The following is a 26,358-nucleotide window of genomic DNA, read 5'->3' on the forward strand; positions in this document are numbered from 1 at the left end:
TATATAGTTCAGAACAGATTGTATAATTTTATATCTAGCTTTTTTAAACTTAACATTATAATGTGAACATTCTATTAAAATGTTGAAAACTTTTTTTCTTAGACACAATGTTCATTGACTATATTCTGTTCCATCATATGGCTATATCTTAGCTTGACCCCCCTACCAGTCATCTAGACTGGGGCAACAAACTTTTCCTTAAAGGTCCAGATAGCCAGGCGCGGTGGCTCACACCTGTAATCCCAGCACTTTGGGAGACCGACGCAGGATGATCACTTTGAGTCCAGGAGTTTGAGACGAGCCTGGGCAACATAGCAACACCCCGTTTCTCTAAAAAAAAAAAAAAAAAAAAAGAAAACAAAAACAAGATCCAGATAGTAAATATTTTAGGCTTTATTGGCCAGATAGTCTCTGCCCTTGTAGCATGAAAGGAGCCATAAGCCATAAACAATACATATACGGGTGTGGCTGTATTTAACACAACTTTACCAGAATAAAAGGAGGACTAGATGATTCTCTGGGTCATGTAACAGAGTCCAAAGAGTGTACTACTCACTGCATGACATTTAATAAGTCAAGAGACAAGGGGTTGAGGCAAGGAAAGTGACTTTTATTCAGAGAGCCAGCAAACCAAGAAAATGGAAGAGTAGTGTCCTGAAGAACCATTTTTAAGTCAATACAAATTTCAGGCTCCTTTTACGTGAGAGGAAGGGGGAAGAGGGAGGGAGTTGAGGTCAAGAAGTGGCCAGTGATCACATCTGGGTGGTGGCAAGGGTCCAAGGAGGTGGTGAAACTTTGTCCTTGGTCAGGTCACAGTGCTCTTATAAATCTTTAACATAACATTATTACTTGCATACATCCTCCTTATCTCCTCAGGGGTTAGTTTTGGGGGAGGCACTATTACCATCCTTGCTCTAAACTATAAACTAAATTCCTTCTATAGTTAGCTTGGCCTATGTGCAGAGATAAGCAAAAGCAGTTAACCTAAAAGATACAGGTTATCGCTGCAGGGGGGTTAGGAGCAAAATGGAGTTAGTCACGCTAGGCCTCCTTGTCACTGTTATAGCCATAGCTTGTGGATCTCTGGTTTAGACTATTTATAATGTTTGGTACTATAAATAATGCAGCTAATGAATATCTTTGTGAAGAAGTCCTTGAATATGTCAGATTATCTCTTAGGAAACAATCCTACAAATTGAGTTACTAGAACAAAAAAAAAGTATGGCTATTTTTAAGGTCCTTGATCCATAATATGGGATACAAGTCGAAGTAGCTTTCTGAATAGCCACCTAACCTTAACTCAGCATCATTCTTGGACCCTGCCCATGTCCCTGGGAATCCCTGGAACTAACATTTCTTTGGTTCTTTTTTTTTTTTTTTTAAGAGTCGGGGTCTCACTCTGCTGCCCAGGCTGGAGAACAGTGGCACAATCATGGCTCACTGCAACCTTGAATTCCTGGCCTCAAATTATACTCCCTCTCACCCTCCCGAAGTGCTGGGATTATAGGCATGAGCATCTGTGCCCGGCCACTTTTCATTAGTCCTAAGCACACACCACCAAGTTCAGTTTTCCTGAGATGCCTCCATTCTCCAGATCATTCAGCCCCTTTACAGTGGACAATTATGCTTATCTATTTCTGCTTAAATCATCTATCTATGTGCTACCTTTTCCTTCCCAACCCAATTGTTTAAAGATGACAGACTAGACCAGGCACCATGGCTCATGCCTGTAATCCCAGCACTTTGGGAGGCAGAGGCAGGAGGATCTCGAACCCAGGAGTTTGAGACCAGCCTGGGCAATATAAGGAGACTCTGTCTTTACAAAAATAAAATTAGCCACACATGCTGGCACACACCTTCAGTCCCAGCTACTTGGAGGCTGAGGTAGGAGGATTGCTTGGGCCTGGGAGGCAGAGGTTGCAATGAGTCATGATCAGGCCACTGCACTCCAGCCTGGCAACAGAGGGAGACTTGCTTCAAAAAAAAAAAAAAAAAAAAGACAGACTAAGCATGTGTACCTAGTTAGGATCCTTCTGGAAACCCCACGAAAATGACAGCAAAAGGATATTTTTATCACATAAACCCCATACAACTGATTAAATTTGGGAGAACATTAGAAACAAGGACATTCTATCATTTGCAACAACATGGGTGAACCTGGAAGATATTATGCTAAGTGAAATAAGCCAGATTCAGAAAGACAAATACCACATGATTTCACTTATACGTGGAATTTTAAAAAGTTGAACTCACAGCAGCAGAAAGTAGAATGGTGGTTACCAGAGGCTGGGGGAGGAGAGGAGTAGGGGAGATGTTGACCAAAGGGCACACATTTCAGTTAGCCAGGGGGAATACGTTTTTGAGATCTACTGTACATGGTGACCATAGTCAATAATAATGTATACTTTGAAGGAGCATCTGGAATTTTACCCCCAGATATGGCTCCCTGGTATAATGAGTATTTTGAATTAAATGTCCTTAGCAATCAACAGATGCTAGAAGAAACCTTTTCCCTATCTACATAAAGACCTAAGGGATCCACCAAGGAAAACAATTACTAAGTTTTTATTCCATTTCTCCTATTAATCTGCATTTGGTGAGTGATTTTTTAGTTATTCTTCAGAGGGCAAAGGGGAAGTTTGTTCCTGGCCCCTACAGTTTCAAAATTGTAAAAATAATAACAATAATGAATTTTTTAAATTACACATTTATTTTTACTTTTTTTTTTTTTTATTAGAGACAGGGTATTGCTATGTTGCCCAGGCTGGTGTCTGGAACCCCTGAATTCCTGGGCTCAAGCAATCTTCCTGCCTTGGCCTCTCAAAGTGTTGGAATTACAGGTGTGAGCCACCATGCTTGGCCAAGAATAGATTTTACATGTTCTCAATACAAAGAAAAAGAAGTATGTGAGGAGTGTGATATGCTAATTAGCTTCATATAATCATTCCACAATGTATACATCTATTACTATCAAAACATCATATTTATCCCATATATATATTATTTGTCAATTAAAAATGTAAATTTTCATTTAAAATTTTGAAGGGCTAGAAAACAGGATAAATAGCAACTGACTTAGCAGGCTTGTGAAGCTGAGTCTTAAGCCAGCAGGGATGAAAGTCAAGAAGCAACTCAACTTGCATTGAGACTCCCATAGAGTTTTGTGACCAGGCTTTGGTAGTACCAGCTACGTCTAGTATAAGTGGGGGTGTGTATAAGACTGAATACAGGAGAATTGGTTGGAAGTCAGTAAGAAGAAGTTAGAACCCTAAATCTCTCCTGCAAGTCCACACAGCCAGACTGTACATCCCCCACCCCAGAATAAGACTGTAAGTTGAAAACAAAAGGTCTCTGGATAAAGGGTTACCAGGCAAAATTAGGGTTGAGGTACTATACTGAAAACAATATCATACTGGAAGATTATTTTCTGTGGTTCATATAATACAAAAGCACAGCCAGATATCCTACAAAGAATCCCAGGTTCCAGACTTTTGTTTGAGACCTGAAAAAGAAACAAAAAAGAGATAAAAGAAAACAAAATAAGTAAAAACCAATAAATAAAATGAAGCCCATGTTGACAACTCCACCTCATGTGCTCAGAGCTTCCAAGCAGCTTTTAAGCTCCGCATTAAAAAAAAATATGAATGGAAAACCAAGGGTCACCACACATCTGAGAAAAGCTCCTAATAAAGATAGAGACCAAAACAGGAAATAAAGAAAAAAATAGAGAAAACGAGACTATGCAGAGAGAAATTAAATATTAATGGACAAGAAGTTGGGTGCAGTTGCTCACACCTGTAATTTCAGCACTTTGGGGGGCCGAGGCAGGAGGATCGCTTTAGGCCAGGAGTTCAGGACCAGCCTGGGCAACATAGCGAGACCATCTCTCTGTAAGAAAAAAAAATTAGTTGGGTGTGATGGCACACACCTGTAGCCTCAGCTACTCGGGAGACTGAGGTAGGAGGATCACTTGAGCCCAGGAGTTCCAGGCTGAGGTGAGCTGTGATCACGCCACTGCACTCCAGCCCAGGCAAAGACACTTCAACTCTAGAAGAATGAATATGATTTTGTTGGATAGGGTTGAGTTTTTGAAGGCCACAGATCACTGTTATATAAAACATTCTCTTGTCAATCCCCAAAGAACCAATTTTTGCCCCCTTGGGGGACAATTACTGCCCCTCTTAGAGACCCCTTCTCTACTGAAATGCATGCTTTAGAGAAATAACACATTGCATCTGTGAAATAATGGGTTACTATTTTTAAAATGAACACTGAAGTGAGAAAGAGAAGTAGCTCAGAGAAGTCTGAAAAATGTGTGGTATGCAAAATTTATCAGGTCCAGAGAGACACAATCTTCAGAGAATGAATCTTCAGTCACACCCACCCCTCCCCAGAGAATCATGCCTAGGAACAATTGTTTAAAGGCATTTTGTTCTTTCTTTCCTTCCATGTAGTTTCCAGACTGGCTGATAAATTACCCAAAATGCTATCACAAGTTGCACAATATGACCCTCACCCATTATCTTCATGTTCCTGGAATTTGTGATACAAAGAACAACATATGCCAATTAGTAGCTTATGTTCAATTTAGGAACTGCCCCTTCTTTTTTCCTTTAAAAACCCACTTGTTGGCCAGGCGCAGTGGCTCACACCTGTAATCTCAGCGCTTTGGGAGGCCGAGGTGGGCGGATCATCTGAGGTCAGGAGTTTGAGACCAGCCTGGCCAACATGGGGAAAACCTGTCTCTACTAAAAATACAAAACATAGCTGCGCGTGGTGGTGCACGCCTGTAATTCCAGCTACTAGGGAGGCTGAGGCAGGAGAATTGCTTGAACTCGGGAGGCAGAGGTTGCAGTGAGCCAAGATTGTGCCACTGCACTCCAGCCTGGGTGACAGAGCAAGATTCCATCTAAAACAAACAAACGAACGAACAAAAAAACCCCACTTGTTGACTGCTTGAAGCCAAGAGTTCAAGACCAGCCTGGTCAACATAACAAGACCCTGTCTCCAAAAAAACAAAAACAAAAACCAAAAAATCCACTTGTAAGTGCTGCTAATCACAGCATATATTCAGGGCAACTTAACTTGAATCTGTGTCTCCTGGGCTGTAGCCCTCAAATTTGGCCCAAATAAACTCTCTGCTTACATTAATTTTGCCTCAGTTTATTCCTGTAGGTGAACCAATAAAAAAGAGCTCTTAGAATTGTAGTGTTACCAGAAAGGGATCCCAATCCAGACCCCAGGAGAGGGTTCTTGGACCTTGCACGAGAAAAGAATTTGGGACAAGTCTGCAAAGTGAAAGCAAGTTTATTAGAGAAGAAAAGAAACAAAAGAATGGCTCCTCCATAGGCAGAGCAGAGGCATGGGCTGCTCTATGAGTAAACTTATGGTTATTTCTTGCTTATATGCTACATATGGGGTGGATTATTCATGAGTTTTCTGGCAAAGGGTGGGCAATTTCCAGAACTGAGGGTTCCTCCCCTTTTTAGAATATGTAGGGTAACTTCCAGGCACTGCCATGGCATTTGTAAATTGTCATGGTGCTGGTGGGAGTGTCTTTTAGCATGCTAATGCATTATAGCTAGCATATAATTGTTACCAGCAGCAAAGCCACATGGGGCTGCAGCAACTAGATGCCTGCTTCCTTGGAGGACAGAATTCAGCCAAGGGGCAGAAGCAGGTTTAAGGCAGAGGGAGAGATTGAGACAACTTTTAGAGCAGGAATGAGAGTTTATTAAAAAGTTTTAGAGCAGGAATGAAAGGAAGCAAAGTCCACTTGGAAGAGGGCCAAGTGGGTGACTTGAGAGATCCAAGTGCCCTTTTCAGCCCTTGACTTGAGGTTTTATACATGGGCATGGTTCCAGGGTTTCTGCTTCTCTTCCCTTAATTGTCCCCTTGGGGTGGGCTGTGTGTATGTGCAGTATGTTTACTGAAGTTGTACACATGCTAAGTTGAGGTGTGTTTCCATTACCAGTCAAGTGTTCCCAGAGGAAGGTCATACACCCATTAAACTCTGCTGTTTTGCCTCTTAGTGAACGTGCCTTAGTCCACTTGCCCAACTCCAAAGATCTTACCAGGAAGCTGCTGATTACCAGTTTTCGGTGTTTCCTTTTCTTTTTTTTTTTGAGACAGAGTTTCACTCTTGTCACTCAGGCTGGAGTACAATGGTGCAATCTCAGCTCACTGAAACCTCTGCCTCCCAGGTTCAAGCGATTCTCCAGCCTTGCCTCCTGAGTAGCTGGGATTACAGGCATGCACCACTACGCCCGGCTAATTTTGTATTTTTAGCAGAGATGGGGGGTGGTTCTCACCATGTTGCCCAGGCTGGTCTTGAACTCCTGACCTCAGGTGATCCACCTGCCTCAGCCTCCCAAAGTGCTGGGATTACAAGCATGAGCCATGGTGCCCAGTTAGTTTCAGGTGTTTTCTATCTATTGGGAGATTGTCTTTCTCTGGCACTGGCTACAACCAATTGTTATTTTAGAGAGACAGTTTAACAACTGCCTGACCATCATCTGATGATCACCTGACATTCCTGGAGACAGGGCCCTCCCCTGCCCTGCTCATGTCTGCCTAACTACCGATTCTAACATAATGAACAGTGAGGATGACCAGAGGTCACTTTCATTACCATCTTGGATTTGGCAGGTTTTGGCCAGCTTCTTTACTGTATCCTGTTTTATCAGTAAGGTCTTTGTGACCTGTATCTTGTGCCAACCTCCTATCTCATCCTGTGACTAAGAATGCCTAACTGCCTGGGAATGCAGCCCAGTAGGTCTCAGCTTTATTTTACCCAGCTCCTATTCACTTTGGTTCAAATGCCTCTGACAGTAGGGGCCAAGGGAAAAACTTCCCCTTTGTCCTCTGAAGGTTTACTGAAAAATCAACTCACAAAATGCAGATTAGTAGGAAAAAGGCATCAAAACTTATTAATGTGTACACAGGGGAGAATCAGAGTGATCACTCAATATCCCAGTGGGGCCCAAATACTTATATAGCCTTATTTGAGAGGGGAGTGAGGAGATGGGGAATATAGGTAATTCTGTTGAGGTACAATAAACGATTGCTAGGGAGAATGAATGGATCAGGGAACAGAGATTAGCTTGTAAATCGTTCTCTTTGAAAAAAAGATTTTTTTTTTTTTTGAGACAGGATCTTGCTCTGTCCCAAAGGCTGGAGTGCAATGGTGTGGTCACAGCTCACTGCAGCCTTGACCTACTGGGCTCATGTGATCCTCTTGTAACCACCCATGGGTTCACCTTGCCTGCTGCCTAGACAGAGCCAATTTATCAAGACAGGGGAACTGCAGTAGACAAAGAGTAATTCACACAGACCAGCTGTGCGGGAGACCAGAGTTTTATGATTACTCAAAAAAGTCTCCCTCAGTATTTGGAAATAAGAGTTTTGTTGTTGTTGTTGTTGTTGTTGTTGTTGTTGTTTTTGAGATGGAGTTTCGCTCTTGTCGCCCAGGCTGGAGTGCAATGGCGCAATCTCCACTCACTGCAACCTCCGCCTCCTGGGTTCAAGTGATTCTCCTGCCTCAGCCTACTGAGTAGCTGGGATTACAGGCACATGCCACCATGCCCAGCAAATTTTTGTATTTTTAGCAGAGACGGGATTTTGCCATGTTGTCCAGGCTGGTCTCAAACTCCTGGCCTCAAGTGATTCGCCCGCCTCGGCCTCCCAAAGTGCTGGGATTACAAGTGTGAGCCACTGCACCTGGCCAGGAAATGAGAGTTTTTAAGGACAACTTGGTGAGTAGGGGAAAGCCAGTGAACCAGGAGTGCTGATTGATCAGGTCAGAGATAAAATCATAAGAAGCTGAAGCTGTCTTCTTGCACTAAGTCAGTTCCTGGGTGGGAGCCACAAGATCAGATGAGCCAGTTTATCCATCTGGGTGGTGCCAGTTGATCCATCAAGTGCAGGGTCTGCAGAACATCTGAGCACTGATCTTAGGAGCAGTTTAAGGAGGCCCAAAATCTTGTAGCATCCAGCTGTATGACTCCTAAACCATAATTTCTAATCTTGTGGCTAGTTTCTTAGTCCTACAAAGGCTGTCTAGTCCCCAGGCAAGAAGGGCGTTTGTTTTGGGAAAGGGCTGTTGCCATCTTTGTTTTAAACTATAAACTAAGTTTTAAATTATAAACTACTTTTCTCCCAAAGTTAGTTCAGCCTACACTCAGGAATGAACAAATACAGCTCGGAGGTTAGAAGGAAGATAGAGTTGGTTCAGTCAGATCTCTTTCACTGTCTCAGTTATAATTTTGCAGTGGTGGTTTCACTCCTGCCTCAGCCTCCTAAGTAGCTGTGACTATAGGCATATGCCACCATGCCCAGCTAATTTTTTTTTTATAGAGATGGAGTCTCACGGTGTTGCCCAGGCTTGTCTCAAACTCTTGGGCTCAAACAATCCTTCCTGCTCAGCCTCCCAAAGTGCTGGGATTACACGCATGAGGCACCACACCTGGCCTTTTTTTTTTTTCTAAGTTTTTTGTTGTAGGTTGTGCTACATTTCCCAGGCTGGTCTCGAACTCCTGCCCTCAAGCAATCCTCCCACTTTGGCTCCCCAAAGTGCTCTTTGGAAATTGAGCCTGAGAGAAGAATATTATCTTGTGAATAAGTCTGTTTAGGTGTGGTTAATTCCTTGCTCTTCTTTTCTGCAATAGATGAGAAAGCATGAAGCAGAAGGAAAAACGATCGTTTTCCTTGGTGGGTCCTTCAGCCCTTTATGTAGATAGAGAAAAAGTCTCTTCTAGCATCTATTGATCTTTAAGGACCTTTAATTCAAAATACTCATTATACCAGGGAGCCATATATTGGGGTGAGGTTGCCTTGCCTGTACTCCTCCAGAATTTATTTTTTAATTTTAATTTTTTTTTTTGAGACGGAATTTCACTCTTATTGTCCAGGCTGGAGCGCAATGGCGCAATCTCGGCTCACCACAACCTCCACCTCCTGGGTTCAAGAGATTCTCCTGCCTCAGTCTCCTGAGTAGCTGGGATTACAGGCATGCGCCACCACGCCCGGCTAATTTTGTATTTTTAGTAGAGATGGGGTTTCTCCATGTTGGTCAGGCTGGTCTCAAACTCCCGACCTCAGTGGTCCACCCACCTCGGCCTCCCAAAGTGCTGGGATTACAGGCATACGCCACCGCGCCCGGCCAATTTTTTTTTTTTTTTTTTTTTAAAGAGAAAGAATCTTACTCTGTCACCCAGGCTAGAGAGCAGTGAAATTATAGCTCAGTGCATCCCTGAACTCTTGGGCTCAAGGGATCCTCCCAAGGGAGGCACAGTACTGCCTTACTGGGTGACACAGTAAGACTCCATCTCAAGGGAAAAAAAAAAGATTGTAAGTTAAATCTCCTAGAAAGCCAAACACTTGTCAGATAGTGAAAAAAGAAGAGAACAGATTGTAAATTTATAGCATCAGTTCAGTAGTTTCAACATTTTAATAAGGAGGCTAGGGGACACAATGGGTCACGCCTGTAATCCCAGCACTTCAGGAGGCCGAGGTGGGTGGATCACTTGAGGCCAGGAGTTTGAGACCAGCCTCGCCAACATGGTGAAACCCCATCTCTACTAAAAATACAAAAGTTAGCTGGGTGTGTTGGTACGCACCTGTAGTCCCAGCTACTTGAAAGGCTGAGGCAGGAGAATCGCTTGAACCTGGGAAGCAGAGGTTGCAGTGAGCCAAGATCATGCCACTGCACTCCAGCCTGGGTGACAGAGCAAGACTCTGTCTCAAAAAAGAATAATAATAATAATGAAACCACCTTTGCAAAAATTGTAACAGAAAATTATGAGACAGGATAATTCCCTTGACCTCCTTGCAGTACTTGCAACTGGGGTGTGGCTTGTTTACTCGGCCACCTCGTGCTCAAACCCCTTGTGAGAGTGAGTGAGTGCAGGAACTGGAAAAAACGAATGCTGGAATTGGCCAGTTGCTCCTCTCTGGCAGGAGCAGGCTCGGTGCAGGCCCCATAACAGCATCCAAACATGTTGAAACCAATGCTGTTTCAGCTCTTCAGTCCGAGGACAGCTAAGTGCCAACCAGCTCAGTGGAGGGTCAGGGTGGCAGCCCCTGCCCTCTCAACACCCAGGTTCTTGTCCAGCATCCAGGAAGAATCATGTCACACGAACAGATTGAAGGGTAGTGTATGCAGAGGATTTTACTGGGCGATGAAAGTGGCTCTCAGCGGCTCTCAGCATCCAGGAAGAATCAAGTCACATGAACAGATTGAAGGGTAGTGTATGCAGAGGATTTTACTGGGCGATCAAAGTGGCTCTCAGCGGGATGGGGAGTTGAAAAGGGGATGATGCGGGAAGAAGGTGATCTTTCCCTGAAGCCGAGCAGTCTGAGGGCAGGCCCCTCTCCAAAGCCGCATCATCTGAAGTTAGCCACATCTACCCATAGTCTCCAACATTCAGTTGCTTCTCTGCTTACTGCTCAGCCACTTGTATCCTTGACAATCAGCCGTTTGTATCCCCAATGCTCAGCTGCTGTGTTGCTCTGCCAGCTGAAATCTTTTTATGAGCACAGGATGGGGAAATGGCAGGCCAAAAAGGCAACACGTGGGTGGAAAAATGGGGCTCCTGTTTTCACTTAGAGCTGAGGTTCCAGGCTTAAGGGTGGGGTTTACCCAGGAGCCCAGCCCTTCTGTATCAATGGCAGCGGGGGAGATGTGATCTAGCCAATCTCCATCTTGCTTTTAGCCTTCTTTTTTTTTAATCCTCCATGCACATTTTTGTGCTCCACTCTACTAAAATGTTACATTGCAGAACAATTCCAGATCCTGTAACTTAGGTCCTGTATGTTGACAGTATTTATTTTTATTATACTTTAAGTTTTAGGGAACAAAACGTGCAGGTTTATTACATATATATACATGCGCCATGTTGGTGTGTCGCACCCAATAACTCGTCATTTAACATTAGGTATATCTCCTAATGCTATCCCTCCCCCCTCCCCCCACCCCACAATAGGCCCCGGTGTGTGATGTTCCCCTTCCTGTGTCCATGTGTTCTCACTGTTCAATTCCCACCTATGAGTGAGAACATGCGGTGTTTGGTTTTTTGTCCTTGTGATAGTTTGCTGAGAATGATGGTTTCCAGCTTCATCTATGTCCCTACAAAGGACATGAACTCACCATTTTTTATGGCTGCATAGTATTCCATAGTGTATATGCACCACATTTTCTTAATCCAGTCTATCATTGTTGGACATTTGGGTTGGTTCCAAGTCTTTGCTATTGTGAATAGTGCTGCAATAAACATACATGTGCATGTGTCTTTATAGCAGCATGATTTATAATCCTTTGGGTATATACCCAGTAATGGGATGGCTGGGTCAGATGGTATTTCTAGTTCTAGATCTCTGAGGAATCACCACACTGACTTCCACAATGGTTGAACTAGTTTACAGTCCCACCAACAGTGTAAAAGTGATCCTATTTCTCCACATCCTCTCCAGCATATGTTGTTTCCCGACTTTTTAATGACCGCCATTCTAACTGGTGTGAGATGGTATCTCATTGTGGTTTTGATTTGCATTTCTCTGATGGCCAGTGATGATGAGCATTTTTTCATGTGTCTTTTGGCTGCATAAATGTCTTCTTTTGAGAAGTGTCTGTTCATATCCTTTGCCCACTTGTTGATGGGGTTGTTTTTTTTCTTGTAAATTTGTTTGAGTTCATTGTAGATTCTGGATATTAGCCCTTTGTCAGATGAGTAGGTTGCAAAAATTTTCTCCCATTCTGTAGGTTGCCTGTTCACTCTGATGGTGGTTTCTTTTGCTGTGCAGAAGCTCTTTAGATTAATTAGATCCCATTTGTCAATTTTGGCTTTCGTTGCCATTCCTTTTGGTGTTTTAGACATGAAGTCCTTGCCCGTGCCTATGTCCTGAATGGTATTGCCTAGGTTTCCTTCTAGGGTTTTTATGGTTTTAGGTCTAACATTTAAATCTTTAATCCATCTTGAATTAATTTTAGTATAAGGAATAAGGAAGGGATCCAGTTTCAGCTTTCTACATATGGCTAGCCAGTTTTCCCAGCACCATTTATTAAATAGGGAATCCTTATCCCATTTCTTGTTTTTGTCAGGTTTGTCAAAGATCAGATAGTTGTAGATATGTGGCATTATTTCTGAGGGCTCTGTTCTGTTCCATTGGTCTATATCTCTGTTTTGGTACCAGTACCATGCTGTTTTGCTTACTGTAGCCTTGTAGTATAGTTTGAAGTCAGGTAGCGTGATGCCTCCAGCTTTGTTCTTTTGGCTTAGGATTGACTTGGCAATGCGGGCTCTTTTTTAGTTCCATATGAACTTTAAAGTATTTTTTTCCAATTCTGTGAAGAAAGTCATTGGTAGCTTGAGAGGGATGGCATTGAATCTATAAATTACCTTGGGCAGTATGGCCATTTTCACGATATTGATTCTTCCTACCCATGAACATGGAATGTTCTTCCATTTGTTTGTATCCTCTTCTATTACATTGAGCAGTGGTTGTAGTTCTCCTTGAAGAGGTCCTTCACGTCCCTTGTAAGTTGGATTCCTAGGTATTTCATTCTCTTTGAAGCAATTGTGAATGGGAGTTCACTCATGATTTGGCTCTCTGTTTGTCTGTTATTGGTGTATAAGAATGCTTGTGATTTTTGCACATCGATTTTGTATCCTGAGACTTTGCTGAAGTTGCTTATGAGCTTAAGGAGATTTTGAGCTGAGATGATGGGGTTTTCTAGATATACAATCATGTCATCTGCAGACAGCGACAATTTGACTTCCTCTTTTCATGATTGAATACCCTTTATTTCTTTCTCCTGCCTGATTTCCCTGGCCAGAACTTCCAACACTATGTTGAATAGGAGTGGTGAGAGAGGGCATCCCTGTCTTGTGCCACTTTTCAAAGGGAATGCTTCCAGTTTTTGCTCATTCAGTATGATATTGGCTGTGGGTTTGTCATAAATAGCTCTTATTATTTTGAGATACGTCCCATCAGTACCTAATTTATTGAGAGTTTTTAGCATGAAGGGCTGCTGAATTTTGTCAAAGGCCTTTTCTGCATCTATTGAGATAATCATGTGGTTTTTGTCATTGGTTCTGTTTATATGCTGGATTACATTTATTGATTTGCATATGTTGAACCAGCCTTGCATCCCAGGGATGAAGCCCACTTGATCATGGTGGATAAGCTTTTTGATATGCTGCTGGATTCAGTTTCCCAGTATTTTATTGAGGATTTTTGCATCGATGTTCATCAGGGATATTGGTCTAAAATTCTCTTCTTTTGTTGTGTCTCTGCCAGGCTTTGGTATCAGGATGATGCTGGCCTCATAAAATGAGTTAGGGAGGATTCCCTCTTTTTCTATTGATTGGAATAGTTTCAGAAGGAATGGTACCAGCTCCTCCTTGAACCTCTGGTAGAATTCGGCTGTGAATCCATCTGGTCCTGGACTTTTTTTGGTTGGTAAGCTATTAATTATTGCCTCAATTTCAGATCCTGTTATTGGTCTATTCAGAGATTCAACTTCTTCCTGGTTTAGTCTTGGGAGAGTGTATGTGTCAAGGAATTTATCCATTTCTTCCAGATTTTCTAGTTTATTTGCATAGAGGTGTTTATAGTATTCTCTGATGGTAGTTTGTATTTCTGTGGGATCAGTGGTGATATCCCCTTTATCATTTTTTATTGCATCTATTTGATTCTTCTCTCTTTTCTACTTTATTAGTCTTGCTAGCGGTCTATCAATTTTGTTGATCTTTTCAAAAAACCAGCTCCTGGATTCATTGATTTTTTGAAGGGTTTTTTGTGTCTCTATTTCCTTCAGTTCTGCTCTGATCTTAGTTATTTCTTGTCTTCTGCTAGCTTTTGAATATGTTTGCTCTTGCTTCTCTAGTTCTTTTAATTGTGACGTTAGGGTGTCAATTTTAGATCTTTCCTGCTTTCTCTTGTGGGCATTTAGTGCTATAAATTTCCCTGTACACACTGCTTTGAATGTGTCCCAGAGATTCTGGTATGTTGTGTCTTTGTTCTCGTTGGTTTCAAAGAACATCTTTATTTCTGCCTTCATTTCGTTATGTACCCAGTAGTCATTCAGGAGCAAGTTGTTCAGTTTCCATGTAGTTGAGTGGTTTTGAGAGTGAGTTTCTTAATCCTGAGTTCTAGTTTGATTGCACTGTGGTCTGAGAGACAGTTTGTTATAATTTCTATTCTTCTACATTTGCTGAGGAGTGCTTTACTTCCAACTATGTGGTCAATTTTGGAATAGGTGTGGTGTGGTGCTGAAAAGAATGTATATTCTGTTGATTTGGGGTGGAGAGTTCTGTAGATGTCTATTAGGTCCACTTGGTGCAGAGCTGAGTTCAAGTCCTGGATATCCTTGTTAACTTTCTGTCTCGTTGATCTGTCTAATGTGACAGTGGGGTGTTAAAGTCTCCCCTTATTATTGTGTGGGAGTCTAAGTCTCTTTGTAGGTCTCTAAGGACTTGCTTTATGCATCTGGGTGCTCCTGTATTGGGTGCATATATATTTAGGATAGTTAGCTCTTCTTGCTGAATTGATCCCTTTACCATTATGTAATGGCCTTCTTTGTCTCTTTTGATCTTTGTTGGTTTAAAGTTTGTTTTATCAGAGACTAGGATTGCAACCCCTGCCTTTTTTTGTTTTCCATTTTCTTGGTAGATCTTCCTCCATCCCTTTACTTTGAGCCTATGTGCATCTTTGCATGTGAGATGGGTTTCCTGAATACAGCAGACTGATGGGTCTTGACTCTTTATCCAATTTGCCACTCTGGGTCTTTTAATTGGAACATTTAGTCCATTTACATTTAAGGTTAATATGGTTATGTGTGAATTTGATCCTGTCATTATGATGTTAGCTGGTTATTTTGCTTGTTAGTTGATGAAGTTTCTTCCTAGTCTCGATGGTCTTTACAATTTGGCATGTTTTTGCAGTGGCTGGTACCGGTTGTTCCTTTCCATGTTTAGTGCTTCCTTCAGGAGTTCTTTTAGGGCAGGCCTGGTGGTGACAAAATCTCTCAGCATTTGCTTGTCTGTATTTTATTTCTCCTTCACTTATGAAGTTTAGTTTGGCTGGATATGAAATTCTGGGTTGAAAATTCTTTTCTTTAAGAATGTTGAATATTGGCCCCCACTCTCTTCTGGCTTGTAGAGTTTCTGCTGAGAGATCAGCTGTTAGTCTGATGGGCTTCCCTTTGTGAGTAATCCGATCTTTCTCTCTGGCTGCCCTTAACATTTTTTCCTTCATTTCAACTTTGGTGAATCTGACAATTATGTGTCTTGGAGTTGCTCTTCTCGAGGAGTATCTTTGTGGTGTTCTCTGTATTTCCTGAATTTGAATGTTGGCCTGCCTTGCTAGATTGGGGAAGTTCTCCTGGATAATATCCTGCAGAGTGTTTTCCAACTTGGTTCCATTCTCCCCGTCACTTGCAGGTACACCAATCAAACGTAGATTTGGTCTTTTCCCAGAGTCCCATATTTCTTAGAGGCTTTGTTCATTTCTTTTTCTTCTTTTTTCTCTAAACTTCTCATTTCATTTCATTCATTTGATCTTCCATCACTGATACCCTTTCTTCCAGTTGATTGAATCGGCTACTGAGGCTTGTGCATTTGTCACGTAGTTCTTGTGCCATGGTTTTCAGCTCCATCAGGTCATTTAAGGGCTTCTCTACGCTGGTTATTCTAGTTAGCCATTCGTCTAATCTTTTTTCAAGGTTTTTAACTTCTTTGCCATGGGTTCGAACTTCCTCCTTTAGCTCAGAGTAGTTTGATTGTCTGAAGCCTTCTTCTCTCAACTCATCAAAGTCATTCTCCGTCCAGCTTTGTTCCATTGCTGGTGAGGAGCTGCGTTCCTTTGGAGGAGGAGAGGCGCTCTGATTTTTAGAATTTTCAGTTTTTCTGCTCTGTTTTTTCCCCATCTTTGTGGTTTTATCTACCTTTGGTCTTTGATGATGGTGATGTACAGATGGGGTTTTGGTGTGGATGTCCTTTCTGTTTCTTTTCCTTCTAACAGTCAGGACCCTCAGCTACAGGTCTGTTGGAGTTTGCCGGAGGTCCATTCCAGACCCTGTTTGCCTGGGTATCAGCAGCAGAGGCTGCAGAACAGTGGATATTGGTGAACAGAAAATGTTGCTACTTGATCATTCCTCTGGGAGTTTTGTCTCAGAGAAGTACCTGGCCATGTGAGGTGTCAGTCTGCCCCTAATTGGGGTGCCTCCCAGTTAGGCTACTCAGGGGTCAGGGACCCACTTGAGGAGGCAGTCTGTCCGTTCTCAGATCTCCAGCTGCGTGCTGGAAGAACCACTACTCTCTTCAAAGCTGTCAGACAGGGACATTTAAGTCTGCAGAGGTTTCTGCTGCCTTTTGTTTGGCTATGCCCGCCCCCAGAAGTGGAGTCTACAGAGGCAGGCAGGCCTCCTTGAGCTGTGGTGGGCTCCACCCAGTTTGAGCTTCCCAACCGCTTTGTTTACCTACTCAAGCCTCAGCAATGGCGGGCGCCCCTCCCCCAGCCTCACTGCTGCCTTGCAGTTCGATCTCAGACTGCTGTGCTAGCAATGAGCGAGGCTCCGTGGGCGTAGGACCCTCCGAGCCAGGCACGGGATATAATCTCCTGGTGTGCCGTTTGCTAAGACTGTCGGAAAAGCGCAGTAGTAGGGTGGGAGTGACCCGATTTTCCAGGTGTCGTCCGTCACCCCTTTCCTTGGCTAGGAAAGGGAATTCCCCTGACCCCTTGTGCTTCCCCGGGGAGGCGATGCCTCACCCTGCTTCGGCTCGGGCTCAATGCACGGCACACACTGTCCTGCACCCACTGTCTGACAATCCCCAGTGAGATGCACCCGGTACCTCAGTTGGAAATGCAGAAATCATTCGTCTTCTGTGTCGCTCACGCTGGGAGCTGTAGACTGGAGCTGTTCCTATTCGGCCATCTTCACTTTTAGCCTTCAAGCTGCCAAGCTAACTTTAGGAGACATTTAGTTTATAGTTTAAATTATAATAGCCCTTCCCCCAAACTCAATCACCTTTGTAAAGCTAATTAGAGACCACTGGGCTAGGGGGCAGAGAGGAGCCTGAATTCTGCTAAGGTGTAAACATAAACGATTGCCAGCCATAATTCTGGAGGTCATAAGATATGCAACTTCCCCAATTATTCCTTCAGATAACATCACTACTGTAGAACCTAAGATTGACCTTTTGGGATACTTTCTCAGGTTTCTTGCATGTCTGACACCCATGCTTTACCTGGACCTACTGATCAACAGCTCCTGTGGCCTCACCCAGGAGTGATTCAGCATGCAAGAAGATCATTTCCCACATCCCTATGATTGCACCCCAACCAATCGGCAGCAAGCACCCACTGTCTAGCCACCCCCACCCTTTCCCCCAAACTACCTTTGAAAAACTCCTAACCTTTAAGCCTTTGATGAGACTGATTTGAGTGATAACTCCATCTCCCACATGGCATGGCTGGCCTGGCGTCAGTTGAACTCTCCACTGCAATGCTGAGATTTTTTTTTTTTTTGAGACAGAGTCTTGCTCTGTTGCGCAGGCTGGAGTGCAGTGGAGTGATCTTGGCTCACTGCAATCTTTGCCTCCTGGGTTCAAGTGATTCTCCTGCCTCAGCCTCCCAAGTAGCTGGGATTACAGGCGCACACCACCACACTGGGCTAATTTTTGTTTATTTAGTAGAGACAGGGTTTCACCATGTTGGCCAGGCTGGCCTCGAGCTCGTGACCTCAAGTGATCTGCCTGTCTCAGCCTCCCAAAGTGCTGGGATTACAGGCATGAGCCACTGCAGCTGGCCCAATGCTGAGAATTGATTTTCTTCGTTCAGTGGGCAGGAAGAACCTGTCAGGCAGTTACAATAAGAGTTCCAGGCCAGCCACCATGGCTCACACCTGTAATCCCAACACTTTGAAAGGCCAAGGTGGGCTGATCACTTGAGCCCAGAAGTTGCAGACCAGCCTGGGCAACATGGTGAAACCACATCTCTATTAAAAAGTACAAAAAATTAGCCAGGCATGGTCCCATGTACCTGTAGTCCTAGCTACTCAGGAGGCTGAGGTGGGAGGATCATCTGAGCCTGGGAAGTTGAGGCTGCAGGGAGCCATGATCATGTCAGAGGTGTTTGAACCACAGCGACTCCATCTTGAATAGGCGCTGGGTAAAATAAGGCCAAGACCTACTGGGCTGCATTCCCAGGAGGTTAGGTATTCTAAGTCACAGGATGAGATAGGTCAGCACAATGTACAGGTCACAAAGACCTTGCTGATAAAAGGATGTGGTAAAGAAGCTGGCCAAAACCCACCAAAACCAAGAAGGTGAGGAAAGTGACCTCTGGTGGTCCTACTGCGCATTACATGATAATTAAATATATTAGCATGCAAAAAGACATGCCCACCAGTGCCATGACAGTTTACAAATGCCATGGCAATGTTAGGAAGTTACCCTATATGGTCTAAAAGGGGGAGGAACCCTCAGTTCCAGGAATTGCCTATCCTTTCCTTCCCCTGCCCCCCCAACCCCTCGCCCCCAAAAAACTCATGAATAATCCACCCCTTGTTTAGCATATACTCAAGAAATAACTATAAAAATAGCCAACTAGCAGCCCTCAGGGCCACTATGCCTACAGAGTAGCCATTCTTTTATTCCTTTACTTTCTTAGCTTGCTTTCCCTTTACTCAAATTCTTTCTTTACCTGAATTCTTTCTTACTCAAGGTCCAAGAATCCTCTTGGGGTCTGGATTGGGATCCCTTTCCGGTAACAATTGTGCCACTGCACTCCAGCCTGGGTGACGGGAGTGAGATGGTGTCTCACAGAAAGAAAAAGAGAGAGAGAGAGTTCCAGGAGAAATTGTGTGTGTGTGTGTGTGTGTGTGTGTGTGTGTGTGTTGGAGGCTGGGGCGGGGGGCGGTTGGGGGGTAGTCCTAGAAGTGTTAGATGTTAGGGAATCATTAAATAAATAGTTCAAGTAAGTAAATTTCCCCAAACTAAAGAATAAACATTTCCAAAATCATAGCAGCCATGGAGAGTGCAGCCCAAAAGGTGAAAATATCCCCATCCAAGGTACCTCACCATGACATTCAGGGACCAGGGGACTGGAATGTTGGGGCTCAGAACACCACCCCAAAATATGACTGTGGAAGACGAGAATTAATGTCACCTCAAAATATACTTTGGCATATTTTGAGATGGCTATTCCAAGAAACTAAAGACACAGGAATAGCTCTGAAAAGATCTCCTTTTGTGAAAGAAATTTATGAAAGAATTTTGTAAAAGGAAATCTACATTAGCAAACAGCAGATGCAAGCAGAGGCTTTCTCTGAGCCCCCCTTATCTGCCTAGAGATGGAACTAGGAAAAATCATATCACAGGAAGAGGAGATTGTGGGTCGACACGTCCCAGATAGAGATTACCACAGGCGGCCACCCTTCTGAAGGGTGCTACCTGAGAGATTTTATCTGCATAAGGCAACCTTTGTGGGCTGTGCATTTCCTCCCCTCTCCCTTCTAGAATTTGTGCCGTGACCTCCTCTCCGCACCCCCACCAAGTGCAGCACCAGATGTACCCTCTCCACACCCTCTCTGCACCCCCACCAAGCCCCAGGTCCCCTATTCCTTTCCATGGCCTCAAGATGGTACACACACTGGCTCTTCTGGGAGTTTCATATTTTGTGAGGCCTCCATGCATATGTGCACATAATAAATTTGTGTGTCTTTCCTCTTGTTAATCTGTCTACTGTCAAGTTTATTCCAGAGACAAATTATTGAACTTTCAGAGGGTGAACGAAAAGTTCCCCTTTCCCCTACAGAAAAAAGAAAATATCCTTAAAGAACCCATTCTCTTATTTCTGGAAGGTATCATTTAGCTCATGGTGGGTAGGAATCTCACAGGTTGAAATAGCATTTCTAGTAGAATTGTCACAAGGATTTTAGTACACTTAAGAAGTTCATAAAGAAGTTCTAACGATGCTAGACTACCTTTTTTTGGTAATGTAAAAGTAATAAAGGGTCATTACAGAAAACATGAATTTCAGAAAAGTATAAAGAAGAAAAGCAACAGCTATAATTGAACAACCCTGAAATAAATACTGTAACTGTTTTGGATTGCTTCCTTCTTGTGCGTGAAGTTTTTTCCCCCATATAGCATCTCCATATCCTTTAATAATATTTATCATTAAACATAACTGAAACTATACTTGTGAACAGTTTTGGAGTGATGGAGTGCAATGGCTGGATATCAGCTCACTGCAGCCTCAACCTACCCAGGCTCAGGTGATCCTCCCACCTCAGCTTCCTGAATAGCTGGGACTACAGTCACACACCACCACACCCAGATCAGTTTTGTATTTTCTTCTTTTTTTTTTTTGAGATGGAGTCTCACTCTGTCGCCCAGGCTGGAGTGCAGTGGCGCAATCTTGGCTCACTGCAAGCTCCACCTTCCGGGTTCACGCCATTCTCCTGCCTCAGCCTCCTGAGTAGCTGGGACTACAGGCGCCCACCACCACGCCTGGCTAATTTTTTATATTTTTAGTAGAGATGGGGTTTTACCATGTTAGCCAGGATGGTCTCGATCTCCTGACCTTGTGATCCGCCCGCCTCGGCCTCCCAAAGTGCTGGGATTACAGGCGTGAGCCACCGTGCCCAGCCCAGTTTTGTATTTTCTGTAGAAATGGGGTTTCACCATATTGTCCAGCCTGGTCTCGAATTCCTGGGCTCAGCTGATCCACCCATCTCAGCCTCCCAAAGTGCTGGGAATACAGGCATGAGCCATTGTGTCTGGCCCAGTTTTACAATGTTATGTACAAAGCCTCAAAGGTGAAGGATACAGTGAGCCATGTTCACGCCAAAAAAAAAAAAAAAAAAAAAGAAAGAAAGAAAAAAAAGAAACAGGTCACAAAGTCCCTGCTAATAAGACTGGTTGCGGTAAAGAAGCCAGCCAAAACCCACCAAAACCAAGATGGCAATAAAAGTGATCTCTGGTCATCCTCACTGCTCAAAATACACTAATTATAATGTATTAGCATGGTAAAACACATGCCCACCAGTGCCATGAGTTTACAAATGCCTAGAAGTTACCCTATATGGTCTTAAGTGGGGAGAAACCCTTAGTTCTAGGAATTGCCCGCCCCTTTTCCAGAACGTTCATGAATAACCTACCCCTTATTTAGCATATGATCAAGAAATAACTATAAGTATACTCAGTGGGGCAGCCCATGCCACTACTGTGCCTATGGAGTAGCCAGCCATTCTTTTGTTTCTTTACTTCTCTAATAAACTTGCTTTCACTTTACTCTATGAACTCGCCCCGAATTCTTTCTTGCACAAGGTCCAAGAACCCTCTCTTGGGGTCTGGATTGGAACCCCTTTCCAGTAACACAATGGGTTCATTTTGCTTGCTGCCCAGATAGAGCCAGATCGGGACCTCTTTCCAGTAACACAATGGTTCATTTTGCTTGCTGCCCAGATAGAGCCAATCTGTCAAGACAAGAGAAACTGCACTGGGGAGAGACTTTCATTCACGGCTGAATGAGAGACCAGAGTTTTATTACTCAAAACAGTCTCTCCAAAAATTCAGACTAGGGTTTTTCAAGGATAGTTTGGTGGGCAGCAGGGCTAGGGAATGGGGAGTGCCCATTAGTTGGGTCAGAGATGAGATCTTATGGAGTTGAAGCTATCCTCTTGGGCTGAAGTGATTCCTGGGTGGGGACCACAGGAACAGCTGGCAGGTCTGAGTGGCAGTCGTCAGAAATGCAAAAACCTGGCCGGGCATGGTGGCTTACACCAGTAATCCCAGCACTCTGGGAAGCTGAGGCGGGCAGATCACCTGAGGTCAGGAGTTTGAGATTGGCCTGGCCAACATGGTGAAACCCCCTCTCCACTAAAAATACAAAAATTAAGCAGGCGTGGTGGCACACACCTGTAATCCCAGCTACTTGGGAGTCTGAGACAGGAGAATCACTTGAACCGAGGAGGCGGAGGTTGCAGTGAGCCGAGATGGGGTGCCACTGTACTCCAGCCTGGGAAACAGAGTGAGATTCCATCTCAAAAAAAAAAAAAAGAAAAAGAAAAAAAAAAAGAAATGCAAAAACCTGAAAAGACACCTCAAAAGGCCAATCTTAGGTTCTACAATAGTGATGTTATTGCAGGAGTAATTGGGGAATTGCGAATCTTGTGGCTAATTTATTCGTCCTAAAAAGACACTCTGGCACCAGGCAAGAAGAGGGTTTATTTCAGGAAAGAGCTGTTATCATCATTTCAAAGTTAAACTATAAACTAAATTCCTCCCAAAGTTAGTTCAGCCTAAAGTTAGTTCAGGAATGAACAAGGATAGCTTGGAGGTTAGAAGCAAGATATAGTCTGTTAGGTCAGATTTATTTCACTGTTGTAATTTTCTCACTGTTACATTTTGCAAAGGTGGTTCCAGGACTTCAGGAATATGCCACCATGACTGGCTTTTAAAATTTTTTTGTAGGGGTCTCATTATGTATCCCAGATTGGTCTCCCAACTCCTGGTCTCAAGTGATCTTCTTGTCTTCAGCCTCCCAAAGTGCTGGGATTATAGGTATGAGCCACCATGCTGGGCCTCATTTAATTTATAATTATTTCTAATTAGAATTGACCATTTTGCCCATTTTGTCAGCAGTTTCTTTCTTTCAGGAGTTGTCTCATTTTGCCAGTCCTGATATTTTTCTTATAGATCTAGACATGTTTGGCAACATGCTCCAAGGAGCTACGTGTCATGTTCTCATCTCCGTGGCCATGCCCCAGACCAGAGAATATAATGCCTCCACTGTGAAAATATTCTTTCCAAATGACAGTGACAGTTATGGCACTCACGATTTCCACAGCGTTTCTTCCTCTTTTTCCTTCTCCTGGTTTTCTGAGTGTATTTGTTTTCCTAGTTTATCTTACTCTGGCTGAGTGAACATATGACTGGAGCTGTTTCCCTACCTTCTAGCACATGCGCATGTTACTGGGAAGGGATCCCAATCCAGACCCCAAGAGAGGGTTCTTGGATCTAGCAAAATAAATAATTCAGAGTCCATAAAGTGAAAGCAAATTTATAGGAAAGTAAATGAATAAAGAATGGTCACTCAACAGAGTAGCCCCAAGGGCTGCTGGTTGCCCATTTTTGTGGTTATTTCTTGATTATATGCTAAACAAGGGGTGGATTATTCATGCCTCCCCTTTTTAGATCATAAAGGGCAACTTCCTGACATTGCCATGGCATTTGTAAACTGTGATGGGGCTGGTGGACTGTAGCAGTGAGGATGACAAGAGGTCACTCTCGTCGCCATCTTGGTTTTGCTGGGATTTGGCTGGCTTCTTTATTACAACCTGCTTTATAAGCATGGTTTTTATGACCTATATCTTATGCTGACCTCCTATCTCGTCCTATGACTAAGAATGCCTTAACCTCCTGGGAATGCAGCCCAGCAGGTCTCAGCCTCATTCTACTCAGCCCCTATTCAAAATGGAGTTACTCTGGTTCAAATGCCTCTGACACCCACTATCCCTTCACCCCTACCCTGCACTCCAGCCATAGTGACCCCAGAGTGCCCTGCATCCAGCTGGTACCCATTGAACACAATTTAATGAAATACCACACATTTGAGGAGGACAGGAAGGAAAAGTGAAAAACATCTGATTTATTTTACTTATTTATTTGAGACGGAGTTTTGCTCTTGTCACACAGGCTGGAGTACAGTGATGCGATCTAGGCTCACTGCAACCTCTGCCTCCCAGGTTCAAGCAATTCATCTGCCTCAGCCTCCCGAGTACCTGGGATTACAGATGCGCACCATCATGCCCAGCTAATTTTTTTTTTTTTTTTTTTTAAGTAGAGACAGGGCCTCACCATGTTGGCTAGGCTGGTCTCGAACTCCTGACTTCAGGTGATCCGCCTGCCTCGGCCTCCCAAAGTGCTGGGATTACAGGTGTAAGCCACCTTGCCCTGCCCTTATTTTTAAATTTTTATTTATTTATTTTAAAGACAGGGTCCTGCTATGTTGCTCAGGCTGGAGTGCAGTGGCTGGTTTATTCACAGGTGAGATCATAGTGCACTGTAGCCTTGAACACCTGGCCTCAAGTGATTCTCCTGCCTCAGCTTCCCAAGTAGCTGGGACTACAGGCATATGCTACTGTGCCCTACTAATTTTCTTTTTAATAGAACATTTGGTTTCAGTAGCAGAACTTACTTAAATTTGTGAGAAATGTCTGCTCCCCAATAGAGAACATGGCCCTGCAAAACAGTCTTGGTTTACTCATTTCACAATTTTCCCTTCCTCAGTTGACAACTGTGAAATAGGGAACCAAATGCTATCAAAGATAGCTACAAATAATATCTGCGTGAGGCAGACAATTATCTGTGCTGCAGACCCTTCTCTGCTTTGGCCTTAATTCCAAACAACAGTAAAAGCAAATCCACAAAACCATTTGGGGATAGGAAAGTACAAAGGGGTATTTACTCACAGGAAAAAAAAATTAGGACCCTTCATTGGTGTCCAGCACGTATTTATGCTCCCCAGTGTCCTGGGGGCCTTGCAGACGCCTTTCGAGCCCATCACAGACATTACCTTAAAATGCTTCCCAGATTTAACTGAAAGTAAACACCTTCAGAAGGGAAAGTAGACTGAACATTAGGTAAAAGCACCCTTGCTTTCTAATCTCCAGTGAGGCCAAAATTGATCTTATGAGCTCATAAGTTGATCTAGAAAACACATTTGTAATAAATATTTTCTATGCTCTTCAATGACAATTAAAAAATGGACACTATATAACTAAGATGGGATTGATCTTATGAGCTTTTAAGTTAATCTAGAAAACATTTGTAATAATCCATGCTCTTCAGTAACAATAAAAAAAGAACACTATGTAACTAATTAAGATGGGAGTAGAAGGCCAATAAAAACATCTAATGTCTAGCACCACCTTGTGGTACAACATTCAAATCCCGAGCCCTTACAAGGACCCCAAGATTAAACCTTCTTGAAAAAGACTTGGTTCATGAGCTGCTCTACCATTTCGACCTAACAATATACTTTCTGGAGAAATACAAAATAATAGAAATAACTAACACTTGACTGGTACTTTATAGTAAACCAAGCACTCCCATCTGAATGATCTCACTTAATCCTGGCAGCAGCCCTGCCAGGTACTAGGTACTAAGATCTCAGTCTTAGACATGTGGAGTCTGAAGTTCAAAGAAGTTGGTAGTTTGTACTGGGTAAGTCCTGCACTTGAACCCATTTATTCATATTCCAAATCCTGTAATAAAATTGTATTAGCACTATTGTATGGAGTATGTGTGTGTGTATGTGTATATATATATACACACGCACACACACATCACTATACTATATGTATTAATATATGTGAAAAGTTCAAAAGAAACATATAGTACTATATAGGATATTTTAATATAATATAGTATTTATACTATTTTTTATAGTACTGTTAGCCAGTACTCACTACGTTTCCGGCGACTGTTTTCTGGCTGTGAAGACAAGGCAATATTGGTTGACTCTTTGTAGTCTATATGATTCCACACAGTTTGCTACTAAACCAACCATGGTCTTGCTTTCCTAGTCCCTAAGCACCCAAACGTGGGAGAACCTGATCCTCTGTTGTATTAATTTAGGGTGCACTGATGGAAATGTGTCCAGCGAGAATGAACACAAGAACCTAGAGGCAATGAGACTGAAGCCATTTTTAGGTTTGGCCTTTAATATGCTTGTGAACCAATCTACTGGCTCATAGTTAAAATACTGATGGACTGGGTCACCTCATTAATTTAACAAGAAGTACATTTTACAATCAACATATCTTAAAGTTGGCAGCTGCCTGGGCCCACTTCCAACCCTGACCCAGCCATGAAAAAAAAAAAACAAACAGTTATATATATATATATATATATATATATATATATATATATATATAGAGAGAGAGAGAGAGAGAGAGAGAGAGAGAGAGAGAGATGGAGTCTCACTCTGTTGCCCAGGCTACAGTGCAATGGCATGATCTTGGCTCACTGCAACCGCCACCTCCCAGGTTCCTGCCTCAGCTTCTCGAGTAGCTGAGACTAAAGGCACCATGCCTAGCTAATTTTTTGTATTTTTAGTAGAGACAAGATTTTGCCATGTTGGCCAAGCTAGTCTCGAACTCCTGACTTCAGATGATCCACCTGCCTCAACCTCCCAAAATGCTGGGATTACAGGCATGAGCCACCACGACCAGCAGTTAATCTTAATGTATCTTAAATATATGAGAGGCCACTTGCTCAGTGTCAGAGGTCGGCATGTCATTAAACCAGCTTTAAATATTGTTTTTATTGTTTATTTTTTGAGACAGAC

General features: G+C 43.2%; 1 protein-coding gene across 5 annotated transcripts in view, besides 2 other annotated features; it reads right to left on the reverse strand.

Moving 5' to 3' along the window:
- Positions 1-589: 589 nt before the first annotated feature.
- Positions 590-26,358, reverse strand: part of METTL6 (methyltransferase 6, tRNA N3-cytidine) — a 46,369-nt gene continuing 20,600 nt past the window's right edge. For 4 of the 5 annotated variants that reach the window (XM_017005719.2, XM_017005723.2, XM_005264867.5 and 1 more), the window contains one exon: positions 590-3,502. Coding sequence is in view for 2 of the 5 variants with exons in the window: in XM_017005723.2 (XP_016861212.1) it covers positions 3,421-3,502 (82 nt within the window). In the remaining 3 variants the exon portion in view is untranslated. Of the gene's footprint in view, positions 3,503-15,505; positions 16,966-26,358 lie in introns of those variants that run through there. The other variant, XM_047447450.1, reaches the window with a different exon arrangement.
- Positions 3,735-3,834: an enhancer, noted in NCBI's record as "active region_19532". NCBI's record gives its function as "activates an Ori minimal core promoter by ATAC-STARR-seq in GM12878 lymphoblastoid cells {active_cell/tissue: GM12878}" and the evidence as "EXISTENCE:reporter gene assay evidence [ECO:0000049][PMID:35858748]".
- Positions 3,955-4,004: an enhancer, noted in NCBI's record as "active region_19533". NCBI's record gives its function as "activates an Ori minimal core promoter by ATAC-STARR-seq in GM12878 lymphoblastoid cells {active_cell/tissue: GM12878}" and the evidence as "EXISTENCE:reporter gene assay evidence [ECO:0000049][PMID:35858748]".

The sequence above is a fragment of the Homo sapiens genome, chromosome 3 (assembly GCF_000001405.40).
Source record: "Homo sapiens chromosome 3, GRCh38.p14 Primary Assembly".
NCBI classification, from domain to species: domain Eukaryota; kingdom Metazoa; phylum Chordata; class Mammalia; order Primates; family Hominidae; genus Homo; species Homo sapiens.